We start from the raw sequence: 24,091 nt of genomic DNA, 5'->3' as shown, positions 1-24,091 counted from the left end.
ATACGTAAGGATGAGATAAACCACTTCTGCACCAGAGAAATTCAGTGCAATTTATAATAGTGATTCCAAATCTTCCTATTAGAGAGAAGTGTTATACTTGTTAAAAAGAAGAATGTTCTGACTAAAGCATTTGCATAGAAATTGGATTTTTGACCATTGGGAGGAAAGAAGAAAATACACATATTAGCACATGTTATTCAGCACACATGACTGGATCCTTGGCGTGTGAATTTATGTGACCTTCCGACAAATAACAGCAGCTTGGGTAGGATGACAGCTACAAAGCAAGGCACCATCCTAGACCCCTAGTAGGGTTTCAACTCCTTCACCATTCTTGCTACCCTGCCCCAAACACAAGAGATACAGTTAGCCTCTGGTCACTGGGAAGGTAACCTCCAGTGGGAATTGTCACCCCATTATTTGGGAGGGCTTGCTTTGAAAGTACATTACCAAAAACTTTGAAGGAATTCTTGTCCAGTTAAGAAAAAGAGGCCCTGTAATCCCAGCACTTTGAGAGGCTGAGACGGGCAGATCACGAGGTCAGGAGTTCAAGACTAGCCTGTCCAACATGTTGAAACCCCATCGCTACTAAAAATACAAAAATTAGCCGAGCGTGGTGGCGGGTACCTGTAATCCCAGCTACTCGGGAGGCTAAGGCAGGAGAATCCCTTGAAACCGGAAGGCAGAGGTTGCAGTGAGCCGAGATCGCGCCACTGCACTCCAGCCTGGGCAACAAGAGCAAAACTCCATCTCAAAGAAAAAAAAAAAAGAAAAAGAAAAAGAGGCTTTTATGATTTTTATGAGTTCCAGAATATGGTGATAGCTGTAGCAGAGAACACGTCCACAAGGCCCATCATGGGAATGGCTGTGTCCTCATTGTGAAGTCCTTTAGTCCAACTATGTTTTTTGATAGGTGGGGAAATTGAGGCCCACGGGCATACTTAAGGTCACATAAGCTATCTAATAAGATAGGGTCAGATGCACGTCTTTTGGCTCCTGGTTTTTTGCTTGCTCTCTCTCTCTTTTTTAAATCTAATACTCTTCATTGTTTGGTTTAAGATATAGAAGCATGATATCTTTTAAGGCTTCCAACCCTCTCTGGCCATGTAATTTGGGAACATGTTTCCTAGTCACAGCTCTACCGAAATGTTGATTCTAATTTTTATTAAATTTCTTTATCTATATTTTGTTTTTATATGGCATACATGTTATGCACATGTAAATGAAAATTAAAAACATAAAAATATAATCTAACTCAAAGCCATTGCATGTTTAATATTATATTTAACCATCATTGCTTATGTGCAAATTGTTGGGCCAAGTTGTATTTTCTCCTTTGCTTCCAATGGATGAAATCCCATTTCTATGCAACTGCTTTGGTCAGGACATCTTTATTTTTAACAAGTACTTGTCTATTTAAATAAGTACTCAAATGGCATTTATGGGGTGTGTGTGGGTGTCTATAAAAAAGAAAGCTCTTTTATATAGATACACACTTGCAAATTACCCAGACTAGACAGGCACACAAATATTAGAGCAATGGGAATTTCTGGCAAGTTTCAGAAATTCATTGGAGCATAATTAGAAAACACTTGTTTGCTATTCGTGACTCTTCAAGAATTGCCCTATACTTTAAAACTAGCCTGTGTGACTTTAGTTCCTCTTTTATGACTTTTTAAAAATTTTTAATGTTTTTTTAAAAATTCCAGGGTACATGTGCAGGACGTGCAGGTTTGTTACATGGGTAAACGTGTGCCATGGTGGTTTGCTGCACCTGTCAACCCATCACCTAGGTATTAAGTCCCGCATGCCCTAGCTCTTTTCCCTTTTTAAACTTAGTAAAACTTCCTAAGTGGAAGTAGAAAGTAGCCTTTTTTTTTTTTTTTTTTTTTTGAGACGGAGTCTTGCTCTGTCGCCCAGGCTGGACTGCGGACTGCAGTGGCGCAATCTCGGCTCACTGCAAGCTCCGCTTCCCGGGTTCACGCCATTCTCCTGCCTCAGCCTCCCGAGTAGCTGGGACTACAGGCGCCTGCCACCGCGCCCGGCTAATTTTTTGTATTTTTAGTAGAGACGGGGTTTCACCTTGTTAGCCAGGATGGTCTCGATCTCCTGACCTCGTGATCCACCCGCCTCGGCCTCCCAAAGTGCTGGGATTACAGGCGTGAGCCACCGCGCCCGGCCGAAAGTAGCCTTTTTTAAATGTGAATCTCTCCCTTGATAATGTTCACAGAGTTGGTGAAATCTACCAGAAAGCCAAGGCCAAGGTCCTCTTTCTCCTTTGAAATATCCTGTTCAGAAATGAGTTTGCTCTTCTGAACCACAGTTTTATTTCACATTCTGTGACTGGTTTCCCATCATCTCTAAATAGGAGGGGAAGACAGCAGATAGGTAGAGAAATACGAGCAAAGTGGATGGAGTGGACATTTATATGAAAGAGTCTCTGACCTTATTGAGGAAAGATGCAGCCTTTTTCTTTCAGCTGCTCAGCAGCTGCCATGTCTGTATTGTTCTGCTTTAGGAAGAGCTCCCACTGGAGTGCTCTGTTCAGTGCTTCCTCCACCTTGCAGTAACTCTTCTAACCTTGATATCTGTTTTATTTCCCTCATCAAGCACTCCCATAGTACTTATGATATATCAGGTACTGTGTAACTGGTTTACATTATTAACTCATTTAATCCTCATAACAATCCTATAGCTTGGCACTAATACTATCCCCTTTTCAGAGAAGAAGAAACAAATGTCCATAGAGGTTAAATAATTTGCCCAATGTTCCATAGACAGTATCAGAGCTGGGATCTAAACCCAGGTGATCTGGCTCCCGATGCCATGTTCCGGTCCCTGATATTTCTTTGATGATGTAGGTATCACTCTCTGATTTTCAAAGACGTGAGTGCTGAGCCTTGGAGCAGTGGCACATTTGTCTGCAGATTATCCAGGTGCCCTGACTCCAAGAGCTGTGCACTTTCTACATGGGAGGCACAGCAGCCTCCCTGTTATACCAAGTGTTGGTGAATGGAAACCACCAGACAGTTTTTGTTTTTGAGACAGAGTCTCGCTCTGTCGCCCAGGCTGGAGTGCAGTGGTGTGATCCTGGCTCATTGCAACCTCTGCCTCCCAGGTTCAAGCAATTCTCCTGCCTCAGCCTGCTGAGTAGCTGGGATTACAGGCATGCACTACCACACCTGGCTAATTTTTGTATTTTTAGTAGAGATGTTGTTTCACCACGTTGGCCAGGCTGGTCTCTAACTCCCGACCTCAAGTGATCTGCCCGCGTCAGCCTCCCAAAGTGCTGGGATTACAGGCGTGAGCCACCATGCCCGGCCAAAATCATTAGGAAGTTATTCATAGACGCAAACAACTTCAGTGAAAGATTATTGCCTTGAATTATTTAAAACTGTTGCTGCATCCAGTCTAATGCAATTTGAATCCAATAAGCAATAAACATTACGTGAAAGCAAGATAGTAGTGAAAGTTAGCACACAGGGTTTTGACGAACATTAACTAGATTGTTTTATTAGCTGATTCATATTTTTAAAAAAATATTATGCCCAGAAGACATGCTTTACAAGAAGGTTAAGTACAATCTTCGAAAGCTTCATTCCACTCCCTTCTTCATGTATTTACCAATAATGGAGAGAGGGGCTGGATTCCCATGGGTTAAGGAGGGATGTGAGAGAAAGTCTGTGTGTGGCAACTGAGAGTGTAGGGAATCGGGTTTGGGTTGTCATTTCCTACAGGGCTCCTATGTATTTCAGACATCTGAGCAGGAGTGGGCTGCTGTCTACAGTCACCCTTTCCATGTCAAAGGGTGTCTGACTAGTGTCTGATGGCGTGTGGGTTTGTGGGGATTGACAAGATGAACACCCACACAAACACATGCAGGCTCATCTTTCTCTTTTCCCTCCTCTGTGTGCAACATCATTATTCTAACTGCAATTGGAACTCCTACAGGTATCAAGACAAATGCTCTAGTCTGACTGAATTGAAATCATTTCGACCGGGCGCGGTGGCTCACGCCTCTAATCCCGGCACTTTGGGAGGCCGAGGCAGGCGGATCACAAGGTCAGGAGATAGAGACCATCCTGGCTAACACGGTGAAACCCCATCTCTACTAAAAATACAAAAAAATTAGCGAGGCATGGTGGCGGGCGCCTATAGTCCCAGCTACTCAGGAGGCTGAGGCAGGAGGATGGTGTGAACCCAGGAGGCGGAGCTTGCAGTGAGCCGAGATCACACCACTGCACTCCAGCCTGGGCGACAGATCGAGACTCTGTCTCAAAAAAAAAAAAAAAAAAAAAAAAGAAATCATTTCAGATAAAGCATCGCGTGCATGTTTCCAAAGGGGAGGCAGACATTTCCAATTATTTTACTTTTCTATTTAGTCCAGTAGCCTTTAATACATGCAAGATAACTTTCTTTTATCTTTATGTTCTCTCTAAAAAAAAATCATTGTCAGGTTGAGTGAGAACTGTCTGCCAAGGGAGCGTAGGAAAGATCTGCCCTGGCTTCCGAGTGCCTAGGGTCAGGTCCTGGCTCTTCCACTTACTAGCAACCTCTTTACTTCCCCATCCTCCACTTCCTCATCTGTGAAATGGGATGGTCATAGATCCCTACATTGTAGGATTACATGAGTAAATAAAATGCTATGTACTTATAAAACAATAACTTACTGTTCAGGCACTGACTTCTGAATTTTCTTGGAGGACAGTTCCCACATTTTGTGACTCTGCTTTTGTCACTCTGCTGGTCATGACAGCTGCCTTTCTCTGCTCATTTGATATTTTCTACCAGTATAAAAACTGACAAAGGCAGGAATGCATCCACACATGTAGCACATGGATTGTTGGAGTTTGACTCATAGTGATGAGTTTTTATGACAGCATCTCCAAAAACAGATCTGCCTCTCCTTCTTTAGACACATTCTCCCTATAGGATGCAATGGCAGAGGAGGCCTGGCAGGGAACTGCTGAAGAGTAGGGGTTCTGGACAAGTTGTTGGCTGGTTCTAATTCCAGCTCTAGCACTTAAAGGATATGTGACCTTGAGAAATCAATCTTTCTATATCTCTGTTTCTTTGCCTATACAATGGGAAACAATAGTAGTTCCCTTCTCATAAGGTAGTTGTGAAGATTAATAAAAATTGGGTGCTTAGAAAATTGGTGACACATAGGAAGCACATATGTGTTGGCCATTATTCTTTAAGGAAGTTGTGAAATTATGAGCCAGGAACTTGAGCCTAGAGATACTCAGGACCAGAAAAGAAATCAAAAAAGAAAAGAGCACAGTATAACGGTTGACAGTGTGGGCTCTGCATTTCAGATGTGCCTGGGTTTGAATCCTGGTCCTACCTGTTCCTAGTCATGTAGGGTTGGGCAAGTCATTTGATATCTCAGAAACTCAGCGCCCTCGTCTGTAAATTGGAAAATCTCTGCTTCAAAGAGTTGTTATGATGACAAAGTAAGACGCTTCATGGAAAGGCGGTCTAAATGGGGAGAGGGGACCTGTAAAACCTATGTAGGATGCTGGGCGCAGTGGCTCACACCTGTAATCCCAGCACTTTGGGAGGCTGAGGTGGGCAGATCATGAGGTCAGGAGTTTGAGACCAGCCTGGCCAATATGGTGAAACCCCATCTCTATTAAAAAAAAAAAAATACAAACATTAGCTAGGTGTTCTTGCACGCGCCGGTAGTCCCAGCTACTCGGGAGGCTAAGGGAGAAGAATCGCTTGAACCCGGGAGGCGGAGGTTGCAGTGAGCCGAGATAATGCCACTGCACTCCAGCCTGGGTGACAGAGCAAGACTTTGTCTCAAAAAACAAACAAAAAACCCACGCAGGAGGAAACCCACCCAGAACAAAGGCTTTGTTATTGTGTGTCTTGAGAAGTGAAGTTGGAAGATAGAGCAACGAGGCCGGGTCCAGGGATGCCTGGAGGAGTTTGGCCACACAGAGTTCCTGAGGATCATTTTAACCTAGAGGATGACCAGATGAAAACAATGTTCTAGAAAGACTAAGGTAGAGAGAGTCATATGCAAAATCACTGATTTTGGATCAGGGATCAAGGTTGGGGGGACCATTGATTGTATTACTGATAATGGCTGTGGGAAAAGATGAGGAAGGTAAATGAAAATCTCATGTTTATAAAGATCTAGGATGCCATTCACTCGTTCAACAAACATCTCATTGAGCACCTACTGTGTTCCAGGCATTGTTCTAGGCACCAGCTAATTTTTTTTTTTTTTTTTTTTGAGACGGAGCCTCTCTTTGTCACCCAGGCTGGAGTACAGTGGTGCAATCTTGGCTCACTGCGACTTCCGCCTGCCAGGTTCAAGTGATTCTCCCACATCAGCCTCCCAAGTAGCCAGGACTACAGGCATGTGTCACCACGACTGGCTAATTTTTTTTTTGCGTGTGTATTTTTTGTAGAGACAGGGTTTCACTGTGTTGACCAGGCTAGTCTGAAATTCCTGACCTCAAATGATCGACCCACCTCAGCTTCCCAAAGTGCTGGGATTACAGGCATTAGCCACCAGTCCTGGTCTAAATTCTTTATTATATACTTAACGTATTATATTACTATTATACATTTGTCACAACTAAGAAACCGCATTGGCGCATAACCAATTGCATTTTAATTGTTTACATGCGTGCCCACGTCCACTACCAAGAAAATGAAAACTCACGGACAGACAACTCTGTTGTCTGTCTTTCTTATACAAGGCCTAGCACTTAAAGTCCTAGATAAAAGTTCCGGAAATTGAATCAAAGCTTTCTCTGTCTCTAGACAGGGCTAATTACAGTCTTCTCATTTTAAGTATTCATTGAAAAACAACACACATATTACAGAAACATACAAAAGGGATAAAGATCACCCGAAATCCCATCACTAAGAGGTGACCTCTGTTAACATTTTGGTGAACATTCTTCTGAATATCGCTCTAAGTGCTACAGACATGTACACGGTTTTACATAACTTCTTCCCATAGTATTTTGTTTGCATGTCTTCTTTTCCAAAATCATTTATTTGTCTGAGTGTCACACAAAAGGCTGAAACCCTTAAATTTACTTGGGTTGCTTGGCAATGGGGTGAGCTCACGTGTGTCCTGGTAAAGCTGTGCTTTGATTTCCATTAGAACATATTACCATATAGCCCTGTTACCTCCTGGTATATTTCTCTCTCTGACCAGACCGTCAGCTACTGAACGGCAAGGACTGGTTTTTTTGTTTGTTTGGGGTTTTTTTCTTTTTGGCTTTTATGAATAGCACTGTGCACCTAGCAAGCACACACATGTTCATTTAGTGAGTGAATTGATACCATCCCAGGAGAGCCTCTGAGGGAGTAAATCTCAGCTCCCAGGTCTGAATGGTGAGGTCTGATTGCTGTTTGAATGAAGATGCAGTTTGCATGCATGTGAAGTAAGGTGTACTGGCATGTTTAAACTCTCTGTTATTTTCTCATCTCACAAGTGTTTTCCCTTACTTAACAGGGGAAGCAGTTATTGCTTCTGATAAATTTGTTGATAACAGAATCAAAACATGTTTGTTTGTTTGTTTGTTTGGTTTTTGAGATGGAGTCTCACTGTGTTGCCCAAGGTGGACTGCAGTGGCGCGATCTTGGCTCACTGCAAGCTCCGCCTCCTGGATTCACACCATTCTCCTGCCTCAGCCTCCCGAGTAGCTGGGACTACAGGTGCCCGCCACCACGCCCGGCTAATTTTTTGTATTTTTAGTAGAGACGGGGTTTCACCGTGTTAGCCAGGATGGTCTCGATCTCCTGACCTTGTGATCCACCTGCCTCGGCCTCCCAAAGTGCTGGGATTACAGGCGTGAGCCACCGCGCCTGGCCAAAACATGTTTTTAAGAAGAGGTAGAGGTGTCAGGGAATGGATCTCCTCAACTTTGAGTACAACACTGGAGAGCAGCTACACTTTTCTGAACATATAGGGAGCCAGCCCCTGACCTGGAGGAGGGGTGACCTGGTGTGGCAATTTCAATGTTGCTCTACTGGATATTGAGAGAGGTGTTGAGAGGCTTTGGAATCTTACATAGTAGCCAAAGGTTCATTGCAGAGACAAGGTATAGTGCAAAGAGGAACAGTAATATTCAGATTTTTCCTACTGAAATCTGTAACAATTATGACCCAGACATCAAGATCCCAGAGTGATCCATCTTTTCCCTCCTGAGCCTGGATTATCTAAGTTTCAAGAAAGGAAGAAAAATTCCTGCTTTATAGGGAATGGGTGCAACTCAGGGATTAATTTAAAAGTGCTTTCAGTAGGTGGAAAGCTAGTGGCATTTTGTTATTTGCTGTTTTTGTTTCAGCAGTTATATGTCTTATGTGATAAAGCCCACATCTAAAAACTTATCAGTAGAACTGGAATTTCAGTAGTTGGAACAGCAGTCATTTCCCAGTTTAATTTTAATGTTTAAGTAACAGTAAAAATTTAGCTGTTTAAAAGCACTGCTTTGTGTATCTATAATTGTATATTTATACAGATTGTTCCTGGAAGGATATTTGAGCAATTGCTATTAGTAGTTGCCTCTAGGAAGGGAGAGAGAGAACTGGGTGGCTGGGAGACAGGGAGAGAAGGGAAATGATTTTTAGTGTATTTCCCACCCTATGTTTTTACCTATTTAAAAGCAAACTGTATTAAAAATAAAATAATGTTCGTTTTTCAAAATAAAATAAGATTCATTCCAAAGTCTTGCTGACGCCTGCCCTTGCTGTGACCTTCAGCCATGTGTGTATTAAGTGACAGGTCACGTGATGAAAGTACTAAAAGTGACATTCTGCCCCTTCTTTTCTTCTTCCTATCTTGGAATAGGGTAAATGAGCTGAGGTTTGCTAATGAGTATGAATCTGAGAAGCTGACGTAGAACTCAAGTATGATTTCCTCTTTGGCCAGAGCCCGGGTATGCTAGGTGAACATAGCCAGTTAAAGATTTATCATAAACCTCTTCGCCAGGTTAAAGTTTACACCTACATTAGGGAAATCAGCTCAAGAGCAAATTTTCTGGAAACAATTTGTTTTAATTGAGGTGAAATTCACATAGCATAAAATTGACCATTTTAAATTGAACGTTTCAGTGGCCTTTAATGCATTCACTGCAAATGTGCTTTTGTACAACCATCACCTCTATCTAGTTCCAAAACATTTTCATCACCCCAAAAGAAAATTCCTGTACCCATTAGGCAGTTACTCCCCTTCCCCCACTTTTTCCCAGTCTCTAGAAACTACCAATCTGCTTTCTGTCTCTATGGACTTACCTATTCTGGATATTTTATATTAATGGAGTTATACACTATTAGCCTTTTGTGTCTGGCTTCTTTATTTAGTATCATGATTTTTAAGGTTGATCCAGTTCGTATCATTTGTCTGTGCGGTTGTGTTGCTCAACAACAGGGATACGTGCTGACAAATGCATCATGAGGTGATGTTGTCATTGTGTGACCTCTACTTACACAAACCTAGATGGTATAGCTTACTACACACCGAGGCTATATGGCATAGCCTATTACTCCTAGGCTACAAACCTGTATAGCATGTGACTATACTGAATACTGTAGGCAGTTATAACACGATAAGTGTTTGTGTGTCTAAACATATCTATACATAGAAAGGGTAAGGTATTGTGCTTCATGTTACGGAGGCTACAGTGTCACAAGGCGATAGGAATTTTTCAGCTTCGTTGCAATCTTATGGGACTACCGTCATGTATGCAGTCTGTCATTGACCCAAACATCATTATGTGGTGCATGACTGTACTTCATTTCTTTATGGCTGAATAATGTTTACATTGTATGGCTATATCACATTTTGTTTATCCATTCATCTGTTAATGGGCATTTAGGTCATTTCCATCTTTGGCTATTATGAATAGCTCTGCAATGAACATTCACATATGAATATTTGTCTGAGTACTTGTTTTTAATCCTTTTGGGTCTTGGTACATTTTAAGGGGAGTTTGCTAAGAATGATCCCAAATCTTGAAAGCATTGGTGGCCAGTTTTCTTAAGCTCTCCCAGAAATTACTGGGCTGGTGCCCACTAATGTTTATGGCATGGCAGGCTATGGCATGGGCACCATTGAATGGCCTTAGGTGACGGCAGGTAGCAGAGTTCATCTGGGTGCCTTTCTTCCTCTCTTGTTTGCTTTCTCTCCCACTCTTAGATCCTTCCCTTTCTCTACTGCTTTTCTTCTGCTCTATTGCTGGCCATAATTTGAGCAGAGGACCATATGGCCATTGCTTAGCCTGCTGGTAGAAATTTACTTCAGGTTTTCTAAACTCTCCAGAAAAAAGAGTATCAACAGTGCTGAGAACACAGCCTTCAAGCTTCAGCCATGTTACTTCTGTCTCCCTGCAAAAAGATACAAAGTCCTTTGTGGCTCAGGGATCACATAATGTTTGCAAGGCATGTCTGGATTATATTTTGTAAGCAGAAGGGAGAACTGCTCTAAGCCCACAGGGAAGCACTGGTAGAGCCATGTGCTAGGTGGGTGGTCACTTGCCCTGCCCCGAGGGAGACCCCAGGGTGAGCACATCCTGTCCACTACAGCCATGGCCAGAACTTTTCACTCATGAAGGTTGGAAGTCAGTATCTTTTTCTTTTTTCTTTTTTTCTTTCTTTCTTTTTTTTTTTTTTTTTTTTTTTTGAGAGACGAGTTTTTGCTATGTTGTCCAAGCTGGTCTCAAACTCCTGGGCTCAAGTAATCCTCCCACCTCAGCGTCCTGAGTAGCTGGGATTACAGGCATGTGCCACCACACCCGACTAGAAATCAGAATCTTCAAGGTTGCCATGTGACCATTGCCTTTTCTGAGAGCATACCATGATTGAGTGGTGCTTGGCTTTGTTTTGATAACTTCCCATTTTCCTCTTGCTATGCAAATGGCATTTTCAGGCGAAAGAGAACCCTTCTTTTGATTTCAGGTCAGTCCCTATGATATTGACATCCTCAGAAATGATGTGAGCAACCACATGAGACCAATGGAGGAGGGGCTGGAAAGCAATGATGCTCCAGGCCTGTCCTCCATCAGCTGGGCTTTTGAAATTGTTACCTGGTCATTTTGAAGTTAAGAATATATTTATTAGGGTGATGGTTCATTCTATACATATAGCCCCTCCTTTTAGTTATAGTTCTGAAAACATACATGTATACACACACACACACACACACACAGACACACACACTAGTTCTCCCTGACAGGACCTGAAACCTTAAATATTGGAGGTGACAAAACAGTCTTAATGTTTTATGCTAGTATTTTTATTTCCCATAAAAGAATCTCTTTTACATTCCCAGGAAATACAGGCTTATTACTATTTCTATTTATTGTTCAGAGAAATGAACAGAGGCAGTTTAAGAGATTCTTATCCAAGGCAGTAGACACTGTCTTTAAGCAGATACTAAATTTCTCAGCTCCTAGCTAGTTTTCAACAGCCTTTCAAAGTACATGTTCTGCTTGATAAATGAATACTCTCAAGTAGCTGGAGTACTTGCTCTCTAGAAGGCACCCGCATCCTTCACCCTATTCCAAGCAGGCCCTGAGAAATTCAGCCCTCATGGGCTCATCAGATCAGCCATTGAGTCCAGCCCTGATTGCAGTAGCAGGTGTGGGGGCCATTCAGAGCCATCCTGCGAACGTCATTAGCAGAAGTTCTCGGACTCTCAATTCTGATACTTCTGGGAATGGGGTCTGAGTTGGTATTAAGTCCACAACAGACTATCTTCTATTTCTTTTGTGCTCACCATCATACATAGAAGCATTTGTCATGGGATTCCTGCGTAATGAATAGTTAATCAGTTAATCCAGAGGAAAGGAAAACAACCTGACTCCTTTTAGTTTCCTGTTCACATCCTGGTCGTGGATATGGGGGGGCGGGGGAACACTCAGTACTAGCTAAAGGAGAAGGGTTCTTGACCTTGAGAATTGGTTACCGAAATACCAGGGGTTTGGTCTGGGTCCCGCTGCTCGCTGCACAGAAAGTCAATGACTGAGACAACAATTATTGCCAAGGAAGAAGGCTTTAATAGGGTGCTTCAGCCAAGGAGATGGGAGATCAGTTTCAAATCTATCTCCCTGACTGTCCAAAATTAGAGATTTATATAGTACAGAAGAAATGTAACAATGTATAATGAAACAGGAACTAAGGAGGGGGTAAGGAAGCAATCATGATGAATGAGGGGTCTGGCATCTCATTGTCTGGATGGGTGATCTAGTGAGTTTCAATTCTTTGATTTTTTTTTTTTTTTTTGAGAGTCATAAGGGTCCTTTTCTGAGAAAGGAACTCAGATAAAACAATTATTTTTGGGCCTTGTTACATTTTAAGGGGAGTTTGCTAAGAACTATCCTAACTCTCAAGCTTTAAGACCAGAAGGGCCAATTTCTATATTTATCCAAAAAAAAAAAAAAAAAAAAAACACCTCACTATGGAGCTATTGGGTCAGTTTCAAGTCCAGAACACTCCTAACAGAATTCTGTGGGACTGGTTTAGAAATAAGAATTAGAAATTCAAAATGTGCAATGGCCTCTATTTATGAAAACTATGACCAAAGTAACTAAAACTCTAAGTATATATGATATATACTTAAAACAGAGGAAAGATAAGATTTATTGCCAAATACCAGGTTGTGGAGGACTTAGAAAATGGCTGCTGCCCTGCCTGCCTTCTGCTTTCCTGATGAAGGCTGACCCTCTGTTGCTATTATGGGCCACTCTGTTGCTAAAACTTGTTTGTTGTGTGGTAATTGTTTTCCAAAGACAACAAGAACCTTCACTTAAAATAGCACTTCAGAGGCTTGCCCTGGCTTTCAGTGTGTCCAGCATGGCCATTAAGACAGCAAGGTGAGCCACTGACCTACAGGGACATGGGTGATTATGCACGGTCTAGTTCAAGGTTACATACTCAGGCTCCACATAAGCCTTTCAAAATCATCGAGCCATTATTCGTAAATCTGAGATGTAAAATATGTATAGTATTGAGACCCCCTTTTCCCCAGAGTGGGAAGACTTTGCACCCACATGAATGTTTTGACTTCCCCACCCAGTATGTGTCTTCTGACCTTGTATTGCTTTTCTGGCTAATGGCAGCATAGAATTTCAGAAGCTAAAAAGTAGTTTTTAAAAATAATCCTTGAAAAGTGCTTAGCGTAACAAATTTGCGGTTTCACATTCTGTTTTGTACTCTATTCTTTCTTATGTTGACCTCATACGCATGGTGTTTGCCATGACATGCTAAAAAAGAAAATTGTGGACTCATTTGAGTGACTTGCTTTAAATAAAAAACATGGACTGTGGCCAGTCAATATTTGTCAACTCCTAGGTGTCTGATTTGGGACCTGGCAACATTGAACAGCCTGGATGAAGATGAAGGTCAACATTCAACAATATACACTTGCTAGACCAACATTCTTATCACTACTAATGATGGGGACTTTTTGGTCAAGGAGAGGTTTTCAAGTGCCTGAATCATTTCTGCCTCAAAGATGTCAAAACTGCTGCCCAACTCTTATACAAAAATAACATAAGGAAAGTCTGGGTTTTTTAATCCATGTGTTGCAAACTCATGGTCCTAGGAAGGCCAGGCTAGTAACACAGTTGCAAGTGGTCAGTTCAAGCATGAGAACAGGTGGCAACTGACACACTTATGGAGGGATGGAAACCCTTGCCGACTGGAACTATCTGTCCCGTATAAAGTGAGCAGTCACCACGTGTCTCTAAACAGTGATTCCCGTGGTGGAATCCACATGTCAGGGGCTGAGCTAACATGCTGAAGGCTTGTGTTAAAGGCAGCTTGTTAGCAGAATCTGATCCACGTTCAGGTCACCCTTCTCTTGTGCCCCTTCTTTCTCTTTCGGATAGAATGAGTATTCTCCCACATTCCACCTCCACCATTTTATTACACAAGATTGGGAAATCCATGTTCTCTAGGAACAAATGAATGACAGGATAGATGACATTAAATTCAGGACCTCAACTTACCCAAACCCTAGAACTTAAATTTGTTTTTTTTTTTCTTGGAGCTCCTTAGCTTGAGTCCTGGCCAGGGACAAAGTACTGTAGTTAACAGTCTATTAAAAGGATATTTTATAAGGTCTCCAAAGTCTTATTCCACTTTCTATTAATAACAACCTAAATCTGAAATGATTTTGTTTCTATTTATTTTTTATCCATGTGTATAGCCAGGAACTTATTTTGTACTTTTGTTTATGACAAATATGGTTTTTTGTTTTTTTTTAAGATCTATTGTAAAAAAGCATTCCAAGGAAAGCTTGAATTTTCTTGAACATACCTGGGCAACAGTTTCAATACTGAAAATTGATTTTTTAAATGTTTTATTTAAAAATTTTTATAGTAAAGGGCATGCTCTGAACTGTCTTAAAATCCCTCTGGACGTTTTATAAGTCTCAGTTATCTCAGTGTCTCAGCAAGCATTGGTTAGATGCATAAAGTTTCTCCCTAGTTTTTTAATGTAATGATTTACATTCAGTTCACAATAGTTCTCTACGTAGTCTTTACCTTTGAAGGAACACCTCATGCTCTTGTTCTGTAGTGTCTGTTTTTGCCCCTTTACAATGAAGGAGGCAGGAACCAGAGAAACAAACCCATGATCGGAGATTTAAAGTGAGAGCAGTCCTGTAAGCATCAAAGCCTGGGTTCAAGGGCATTTGAGAAAAGAAGATTTGTCCTCTGTGGTTAATTGGGCAGGCAAAGCCCGGGCCCACTCCAGGCCTTAGTTTCCGGTGTGTAAAATGAAGCATTTGCATCAGATGGTCTATAAAGTCCCTCTGGCTCTCAGATATTCTGTGGTCTGTAAAATGCAGATAATCTCTATTCTCCCAGGTTAGTGGGAGCCCTAAGGTAAACTGAGATAACAGACATGCAAACTTCAGAACACAAGATGTTAATTTTCTTATGATGATTATGAAACTAATGAGAATCTAAAATGCCTTCCCCAGAAGCTGACAGTGGGCCATTTACAATGTTTTAAAGGGAAGAGGAAATGTAAGTTATGTTAGATTATCGCAGGTATCAGGACAGTAGAGACACCAAGTGTTTACATGTATGTGCCTGAAATTCGGCTCGGTAATTACACATATTACGCAGCCTGGGAAAGCAGGTATTGCTAACCTACTCATTTTACAGATGAAAAAACTGAAGCCCAGTGGTTGCCTAGTTTGCCCAGGGTCCCTCTGTTCAGTGTCAGAGCTGGAATTTGACTCCAGTGCTCTTCAGCTCCAAAATCCTTAACTGCTGTGAGTTGCCCAATTAGTGTCTAGGATAGGCCAAGACACACAGGGGACAAAACAGTGAAGACTTATTTTTCCCTATTGCTACTTTTATTATCCTCTATCAGAGCTGCCTTTTCCACCTTAATTATATCTTTTAGAGACAGGGTCTCAGTCTGTCACTCTGTCACCCAGGCTGAAGTGCAATAGCGTGATTATAGCTCACTACAGCCTTGAGCTCCTGGGCTCAAGCAATCCTCCCACCTCAGCCTCCAAAGTAGCTAGGACTTGCAGTCCTAGCGCTGCCACGCCTCGCTATTCTATTTTCTGTAGAGACGGGGGTCTCACTATATTGCCTAGGCTGGTCTTGAATTCATAGCCTCAAGCTATGATCCTCTTGCCTTGGCTTCTCAAAGTGTTAAGATTTAAGGTGTGAGCCACTGTGCCCAGTCTGATGATATCTTAGATTACATAGCTTTCTTGTCACTTTCAGCTCTTCAAAGTCCAGTCCTATTAAAAATTCTCTTCCCCCATCCATTTCAGAGCTTCACCATTTCCTAGGTCAGGCCCAACCCAAATTGGAGACCGGCAATGAGGCTGGTCTTTCTTATCTCCTTTCTGTCCTTCAGGGTTCCTTTGGGGTTTTGGACAGGGGGTGGGGAGTAAGTAGTTGAGGGGACAAGGTGTTATGTAACTGGCGTTATTGTGCTTCTTTCTGCTAACACTGGCTGGAGACTTTTAGTTGGGATGGGGAATACATTTTGAGTTATTTGACCAAAATTTCTGATTAACCTCTTGCAGCCCACCCTTCTCCATTTCCCAGAATCAGCCCCTACTTCCTCATGGTCTCCTCATAGCTTGTTACTAATGAAGTCCCCCTACTTAGCAGGCACCTTTCTCAGGTGGACTCATCAAGATGCTGGGGTGTGGGTACCATCCATGTGATATTCATGCACCCCCAGTAATGTGGGTACCATCCATGGGACATTCATGTACCTCCAGTGAGCTGAACAGTGGAAATTCACACCACATCACTTCTGTCTTCTCATTCACCTACCATCAAGGGTGACTCCAGCCAGCTTCCTGCCTTCCCAATTCAGTAGGCTCCAGACTCTTTGTCCATGAATGCTTCTAAGCTCCAGGATACATCAAAAGCTTCTCTTGGCTGGCACAGCAGCTGTAGGGCCTGAGTTTCCCCACTTAGTAAACATCTAGGCAGAGAGTGGGAGGCTGTTCCTCCTTCTAACAGGATCCTGTAACCCTTGCAGCAGAGCAGAGGGGAACACCACTCTCCTGCTGTGTGAAGAGCTCGCTGCTGACTCTCAGCTCTCTGTTTTCCAATGTCTGATTCCAGAGTTGGGTAGGCCATAGGGTTGATAGTCATCAGGCAGAGTCTACCATCTTTTGATAAGTCCTGCAAGGATATTCCTAGCACCTTTCCTTGGAAGATGGGATACTTCTCCCCATCGTTCTCACCTCGGAGGTTTTAGCCAAAAATTCCAAGACACTAAGAAAAGTCCCATTCTGTATTCTGGAAGTTTTGATCCTGGCTAGGTAGTTGCTCTGAATGGAAATTACTACCTTTGTAAATGACTCTACACATTCGAAGCATGCAGGCCTGGGAAGGTAGCGGTGGCTGGGAGTTTAGCTAGCACATGGTTCTCTTTTTTTATAGCTAGCCCCATGTCCTCAGCCTTCTTTTCCAGAGAGGCGTCTTCACAGAGTAAGACATCTTTGGGGCCCTTATTCATCTCAAATGAGAATTCCAGGAAGGCGGAAATAGTTCTCAAGGAGAACATAGGTGCCCAGGCTGAGAGAAGCTTAATTGCTGCCCAGGAGATGACTTCTCTCTTAACTTTCTATCCCCTAACAGTGGTCTTTATTTTCAAGTTGTGTCTTTGCTTCTTTCATAGCTCTGGGATGTCTGAGCACTGAAGTGCTTGTAAAGAACCCAAGACCTAACTCTGCTCCTAACCAAGGAAAAAGGGAGTCTATTGAGTGGCTCACATGTACCAAGCATTGTATTATGCAAAACACTTTACCATGCATGATCTCTTCTCTTTTTTCCTGAAAGCAACGTGTCCCCTTCTTCAACTTACTTTTGCAGCCCAAGTGTCCATAGCCCTATGCTAAAATATATAAATAAACAAATAAAATATATTAAGAGTGACAGGCAATATCCCTATTGTCAAGGATATTAATTGCCTTTGAACAAAATGATATCAATTTGGAAGCGGCTATGTAGATGGATGTTAATTTAACCTGGACGTGAGTAGCCAAATCCCTGCTTTTTTCTGGCTTTTGATGCCAAGAGTGAAGGGCTCAGGGTCAAGTGTTTAAGGTCAGGCTTTTCTCTTTTTTTTTTTTTTTTTCCATGTTAGGTCATTATTTTTCCTGGGTAGGACACTGGCAAGTTCCTCATGGGTTTTATTTCCTCGATGCCACTGCATATTCACCTACTTCTGACGTTGGCAATAATTCCAATGCCAATCACCAGCTTTCTATATTTATCAGCAGCTGCTTCAGTGATTTGGAAACAATTTTCTCAACAGCTGAAAAACATGAAGATACAGAGTAGGACATTTTGTTCTTTATGAAAGAGCTTAGTTGGAGTGAGCGTGGAAGGAGTGAGCAATCCAGCATGAATCTTTTGTCTCTGCATCTTTTCCACTCTCTCCAGCACAGTGTCAGGCTTGAGTGAAGACCATGGCTTTGTCCAGACAGGAGTGGGTAGGCTCTGTGAAATATACCAGAATACTTCGGGTCAGGATTCTCACGTGGGCTGGTATTCCCTTATCTAGGAGGTGCTCTTTGTTGATTTGCTTGATGTGTATCATAGGGATTGGCAGGAAGGAGGCCTAACCTTAGCCTTTATTTGCAGCCCAACCTTACCAGCTGGCTGGTAAGCATTCAGTGAATATTTTTCTATAAAACATGTAGAGTGGCTGTCCCCCATGAGGCACCGTGCAGGGCATGGAGGAGCTCAATGGTATAGATACCACCTGTGAAGTCAGAGAGCTTCCAGTCTGCAAGGCACTTTGACTAGAATGATTGTGAAAACTAAATGGTACCATGTTTACAAAGCCCTCACGTGGTACCTGATTCTAGAAAGCCCTCAGTGCAGAATGATCATAGTGGTGAGGCAGGAAAATAGGGTCTAGAGACTGGGAGCCTAAGGCGAATCTGAAGTTGACTTCTTAGAATTAAATCAAAAGGAAAACTTCAGCCTCTGGTTGGTCATGGGCCAATCTTTCACTTCAGTCTCTGATTGTTTGCAGGTCAAGTTTCCACTTCAGCCTCTGATTGGCCCTGGGCCAGTCCTTCATTTATATAGAGTGTAACTCCACTTCAGCCTCTGATTGGCCATGGGCCAGTCCTTCATTTGTATAGAGTGTAACTCCGCTTCAGCCTCTGATTGGCCGTGGGCCAGTCCTTCATTTGTATAGAGTGTAACTCCGCTTCAGCCTCTGATTGGCTGCAGGCCAAGCCCTCAAGACTTTCTATCCCCTAACAGTGGTCTTTATTTTCAAATTGTGTCTTTGCTTATTTCATAGCTCTGGGATGTCTGGGCACTGAGGTGGTTGTAAAGAGCCCAAGACCTAACTGCTCCTAACCGAGGAAAAAGGGAGTCTATTGAGTGGCTCACATGTACCAAGCATTGTATTATGCAAAACACTTTACAGTGCATGATCTCTTTTCTTCCTGATAGCAGCCTAGGCAATGGCTGTTGTCCGCATTTTACAGATGAAGAAATGAGGGTTCGGAGAGAGTAACTTGCCCGAGTCTTCCTGACACCAATGCCCATGCTGCTCCTACCTTCCCCACACCATCCACCTCCCTGGACCTCACTTTTGGTGCAGCAGAGAGACTGCAAACAGCTCTGTCAACCTCCCTGAGCCCATCCATTGTCATTTGTAGAAATGAAAAGCCATCTCTGAAAGTTGATTTTCTCTTTTAAAAATTCTATTGAACAGCATCTTCCTTATTATTAAAATCTTTGCTGCCACCTAGTGGGAATTATGTAATTAGAAGAATAAAGAAAAATTTCAGTTAGACTTGGATTAAAAAATTGTCCATTTCATCCTGGAAAAGGCAAAACTATGTAGACAGTGAAAAGATCAGTGGTTTCCAGGAGTTAGGAGGAGGGAGGGATGAATAGATGGGGTACAGAGAGTTTTTAGGGTAGTGACACTACTCTGTATGATACTATAAGAGCGGGTACATGTCATTACTACCTTTGTCCAAACTCAGAATGTCCAACATCAAGACTGAACCCTAATGTAAGCTGTGGACTCTGGGCTATCATGATGTGTCAGTGTCAGTTCATCAATTATAACAATGGTTCCACTCTGGTGGGGGATGTTGCTAATGGGGGAGGCTGTGCACGGGGAGGGACTGGGGTTGTATCAGAAATCTCCGTACCTTCTGCTCAATTTTGCTGTGAACCTACACCTGCTCTAAAAGTAGTCTTTTTTTTAAAAAAAACTATCAGTTTTCTTACATCCATACTGTGCTCCTAAACTTTAAAAATTATATTTTTAAACTAATATCGTGGCCTTCCATTTTTATCTTTATAGTAAACTACCAGATGTGAGATTCCTTTTATAAAAATTTTGGTCAGATGTTGGAATTCATATAAACCCCAGCTTTTAAAAAAATGCTTAATCTTTTATGACCATCTAATATACACTCATATGCATATGACCATCTAATACACACTCATATGTGTACTAGATAATGGGCCATACATTAAGAAATTCTAATTTGCAATATTCAGAACTTATATTTTTAAATTTTATAAATAGTCAAATTTTTTACATTATCATGGTTTAAAAATTCAAACAACACAGAGGATGTGAAGTTAAACAGTAAAGTCCTCCTCCAGAGAGGGAAGTTTCTTAAGAATTTTTAATGTTTTCCCCCAGAAATGTTCTATTCTGGGACTAGGACACACACACCATTTTCTTTACTACTTTTTTATGAATGAGCTTATGCTATGCTTACTGTTCTATGGCCTGCTTTTTTTACTTGATCTATTTTGAACATCTTTCCATGCCAGAGCACAAATCTGCCTCGTTCTTTTGAACAGCCCATAGTATTCCATTATCAACTATACTATAATTTATTTAACTGGCCCTTCACTGATGGTCCATATAGCCTATTTCCAGTTTTTGTTATTAGAGAAATGCTGTAGGGAACATATGCATGCACATATGTGCTTTTGCAAATATATTTGTAGAATAAAATCTTAGACATAAAATAATTACTGGATCTCAAGGTTATGTGAACACCCACTGTCCAAGATCGCCAGAAATACACCTGTCATTAAAAAAAAAGAAAAAGAACGGGTTAAACTAGCTGCAGCAAGAGGGAAGCCAGAGGAACTGTGAGCCCACTCTGGGTGCAGTTTGGAGGAGTTTTCACAGCATTTGGGCTTATGCTGGGTAATTTTATTTATTTATTTAATTACTTTATTTATTGAGACGGAGCTTCGTTCTTGTTGCCCAGGCTGGAGTGCAATGGCATGATCTCAGCTCACTGCACCTCTGCCTCCCAGGTTCAAGCAATTCTCCTGCCTCAGCCTCCTGAGTAGCTGGGATTACAGGCGTGCACCACCATGCCCGGCTAATTTTTTGTATTTTGTAGAGACAGGGTTTCACCACATTAGTCAGGCTGGTCTTGAACTCATGACCTCAGGTGATCCATCCGCCTCGGCCTCCCAAAGTTCTGGGATTACAGGTGTGTGCCACCGCACCCAGCCCACGTGCTAGGTAATTTTAAAGAGGATTCAAAGGATTAGAAGCAGTTCTAGGTTAAGTGTTGTCAAGAAGCAGGACCAGGTCAGCGATTGGGTCTCAAGGTTTTCTGGATGGTCAGAGAATTAAAGTTGGGCTAGAAGCGTCATTAGGAAAAAGCAGTGGCAGTCACGGATGTGGTCAGAAGAGGGGGTTGTTTCATCACTTTGTGTACCAAGTGGACTCTGTCTTGGTCCAAACCTGGCCACTAAGTGGACTTGCCAGGACATGGCTTTATTCTGTGTGTGTTCTGTCTGATCAGCTTGGAACACGTGGCCAACTTGACACGTGCTTGCTTTCATTCTCTCAGGTACATTGATGTGGAATGTCTGTAGTTGTTGAAGTTGCTTTCCAGAAAGGTTGCACCAATTTACAGTCTTCTGGTTTCTTTTTAATACCCAACTTCCCTAACAGAATGAAGCAGTCGATAATCAGATTAATTATGGCAATTGTAATAACAGCAAATGTTTCTAGTCACTTCCAATGTGCCATCTACTGCTAAATCTATTAAATGCACTGAATCCTCATCAGAGGGCTGAGACCAGGTGCTGATAACATTCCCACTTCCCTAAGAAGAAACCCAGGCTTCAAAAGGGTGTAACTTGCTTTGATCACATAGCTAGCCAACGAGGAGTTAGCTGGGGTTCCTCACTGGGATGTCTTATTCCAGGCCCACACTCTTTACCATGAAGAAATAATTTCTCCTTTATTGTCCTTCCAGGAGCCTGCCAAGGAGAATTGAGAGCTAAGGAATTAAGAGCCACTTAATTGATGATCACAAATCTTTGAAAGGCTGGTTTGGATTGATAAGGAAGTAGGGTCCCATTTACAAAAATGAGATTTACGGGCAGCCTCCAGGAGTAATCACGTATATAGTGTTAGGCGAGGCATCAGCATAAAGTGCTGAGTTGTTCACAGTGCCCTCAATTAATAAATGCCTATGCGCACTTTCTTAAAATCACAGCCAAGACACTATAATTAAATATTCTCTGGGCGATCTGTAGCTCAGAGGATACATTAAAAAACCCCCAAGTAAGCAGATGGGTGAAGGACATCCGTCCCCGTAGATCCACGGAGGTTCATGAAGCTTCCGTTCTGTGTCCTTCCGAGGACGCAGCCTGTGAGCCTTCACCAAGAAAGATTTTGTGCAGGGAAAGAAACTGACCCGAGATGGTGCTTGAGTAAATATTGATTGAGTGTGTGATGGGCACACAGTGGGGTTGAAATTGGGCTGCCTGCTTGGATTTAGCAAAGGAAATGTGTAGTAACCACTGGCGGCTGCTCTTTTTCAGATTGTGCCGGCTGCGGAAGAGATATCAAGAATGGGCAGGCGCTGCTGGCGCTGGATAAGCAGTGGCACTTGGGGTGCTTTAAATGCAAGTCCTGCGGGAAGGTCCTCACCGGGGAGTACATCAGCAAGTAAGGCTGGGCGCGGGCACGCGTTCCTTTCAGTGGGCACCGGGCGTTGTGGTTCTTCTGCAGGTCCTGGTCTCAGGGGCCCCACCCCATCAATGGTGCTGAAATTGTTCACATCCTGCCATCATAATGAACTTGTTGCTATAAAACTTTTGAAAAGAATTGTATTCTTTTGCCTTGGCTACTATAAACCTAATGATATGTTAATCATTGCCTAATTTAACAATTAATGAAGCTGACACTGTTACACTGTATGTCATTACCAATTAAGCATTTAATAATTTCCCTGTTGCTGTTCATTCTCCTATGAGGAACTAGTAAGCCTTTGTTCTCCTTCCAGGGCTGGAGTACATTCATAGACGCTCCCCAAAAACACACAAAGCCTAGGTTGTGGGCCTTTTAGGACTGCACAAAACAGCCTGCCAGGAAATGGGCTCATGTTCAATAATAGTGGATAATAGCTACAGTTAAGGAAGTGAGGCTTTTTTTTTTTTAAATGTAGCCTGGCAATGAGGGGAAATTTTCCACCGTATACCTTTTCATGCCTTAAAAAAAATTTTCCTGCTGGGCGTGGTGGCTCACACCTGTAATCTCAACACTTGGGAGGCCAAGGTGGGAGGATCACTTGAGTTCAGGAGTTCGAGACCAGCCTGAGCAACATAGCAAGACCTCATCTCTACTAATATAAATAAATAAATAAGCAAGCAAGCCAGGCATGGTGGCACATGCCTGTAGTCCCAGCTACTTGTGAGTCTGAGGTGGGAGGATCACTTGAGCCCAGGAGATCAAGGCTGCAGTGAACTATTATCGCACCACTGCACTCCAGCCAGGGCAACTGAGTAAGACCTTGTCTCAAAAAATAAACAAATAAATTCATTCATTAATTCATGCATTTCCCCAACCACATGAAATCACCTATTCGAAAATATTAATGAATGTAGTTTAAAAATATAGTGAAACAAACAAGCAAACAAAAGGTTGCTTGGGCCCCACCCACTAGAAATCTAATTCTACAGGCCCAGGGTAAGGCTGAAACACCTGCACTGAAAGGGCAAGAAGGCTGGGTGCGGTGGCTCATGCCTGTAATCCCAGTACTTTGGGAGGCCGAGGCAGTCGGATCACCTGAGGTTGAGAGTTCGAGACCAGCCTGGCCAATATGGTGAAACCTCATCTGTACTAAAAATACAAAAACTGAGCCGGGCATGGTGGTGGGCACCTGCAACCCCAGCTACTTGGGAGGCTGAGACAGGAGAATTGCTTGAACCTGGGAGGCGGAGGTTGCAGTGAGCCCAGATCGCACCACTGTACTCCAGCCTGGAGACAGAGCAAGACTCTGTCTCAAAAAAAAAAAAAAAGAAAGAAAAGAAAAGGCAAGAAGCTCTTCAGGTGACCATTATGGACAAAATAAGACAGGTGCCTGGCTTCTAACGGAACATTGCAAGCTATGCGGGGGTGGGTAACTTGGCAGTCTAGGGTGGCACTCTATAGCTTTTCCATGCAATCACACACAGGATATAATATTTTTCCTGTGCTCCAAGGAGGTTGACTGAGCTGAAGGAGGCGGCCCTGGGCTCCGGAGGCCTCCTGAGAGCTGAGGAGGTGGTGTCTGCAGGCTGTTCAGAGGCTGTACTCTGGCATGTGGGCCCCTTGTAGG

At 42.6% G+C, this 24,091-nt stretch overlaps 1 protein-coding gene across 40 annotated transcripts in view; it reads left to right on the top strand.

Moving 5' to 3' along the window:
- Positions 1 to 24,091, top strand: part of ABLIM1 (actin binding LIM protein 1) — a 370,264-nt gene that overhangs the window by 231,284 nt on the left and 114,889 nt on the right. For all 40 annotated transcript variants that reach the window (XM_047425242.1, XM_047425238.1, XM_047425237.1 and 37 more), the window contains 1 exon segment: positions 22,314 to 22,440. In XM_047425242.1, coding sequence (XP_047281198.1) covers positions 22,314 to 22,440 — 127 coding nt within the window.

Source organism: Homo sapiens, chromosome 10 (genome assembly GCF_000001405.40).
Source record: "Homo sapiens chromosome 10, GRCh38.p14 Primary Assembly".
Classification (NCBI taxonomy): Eukaryota; Metazoa; Chordata; class Mammalia; order Primates; family Hominidae; genus Homo; species Homo sapiens.
This window is presented reverse-complemented; position numbering and strand designations above follow the sequence as displayed.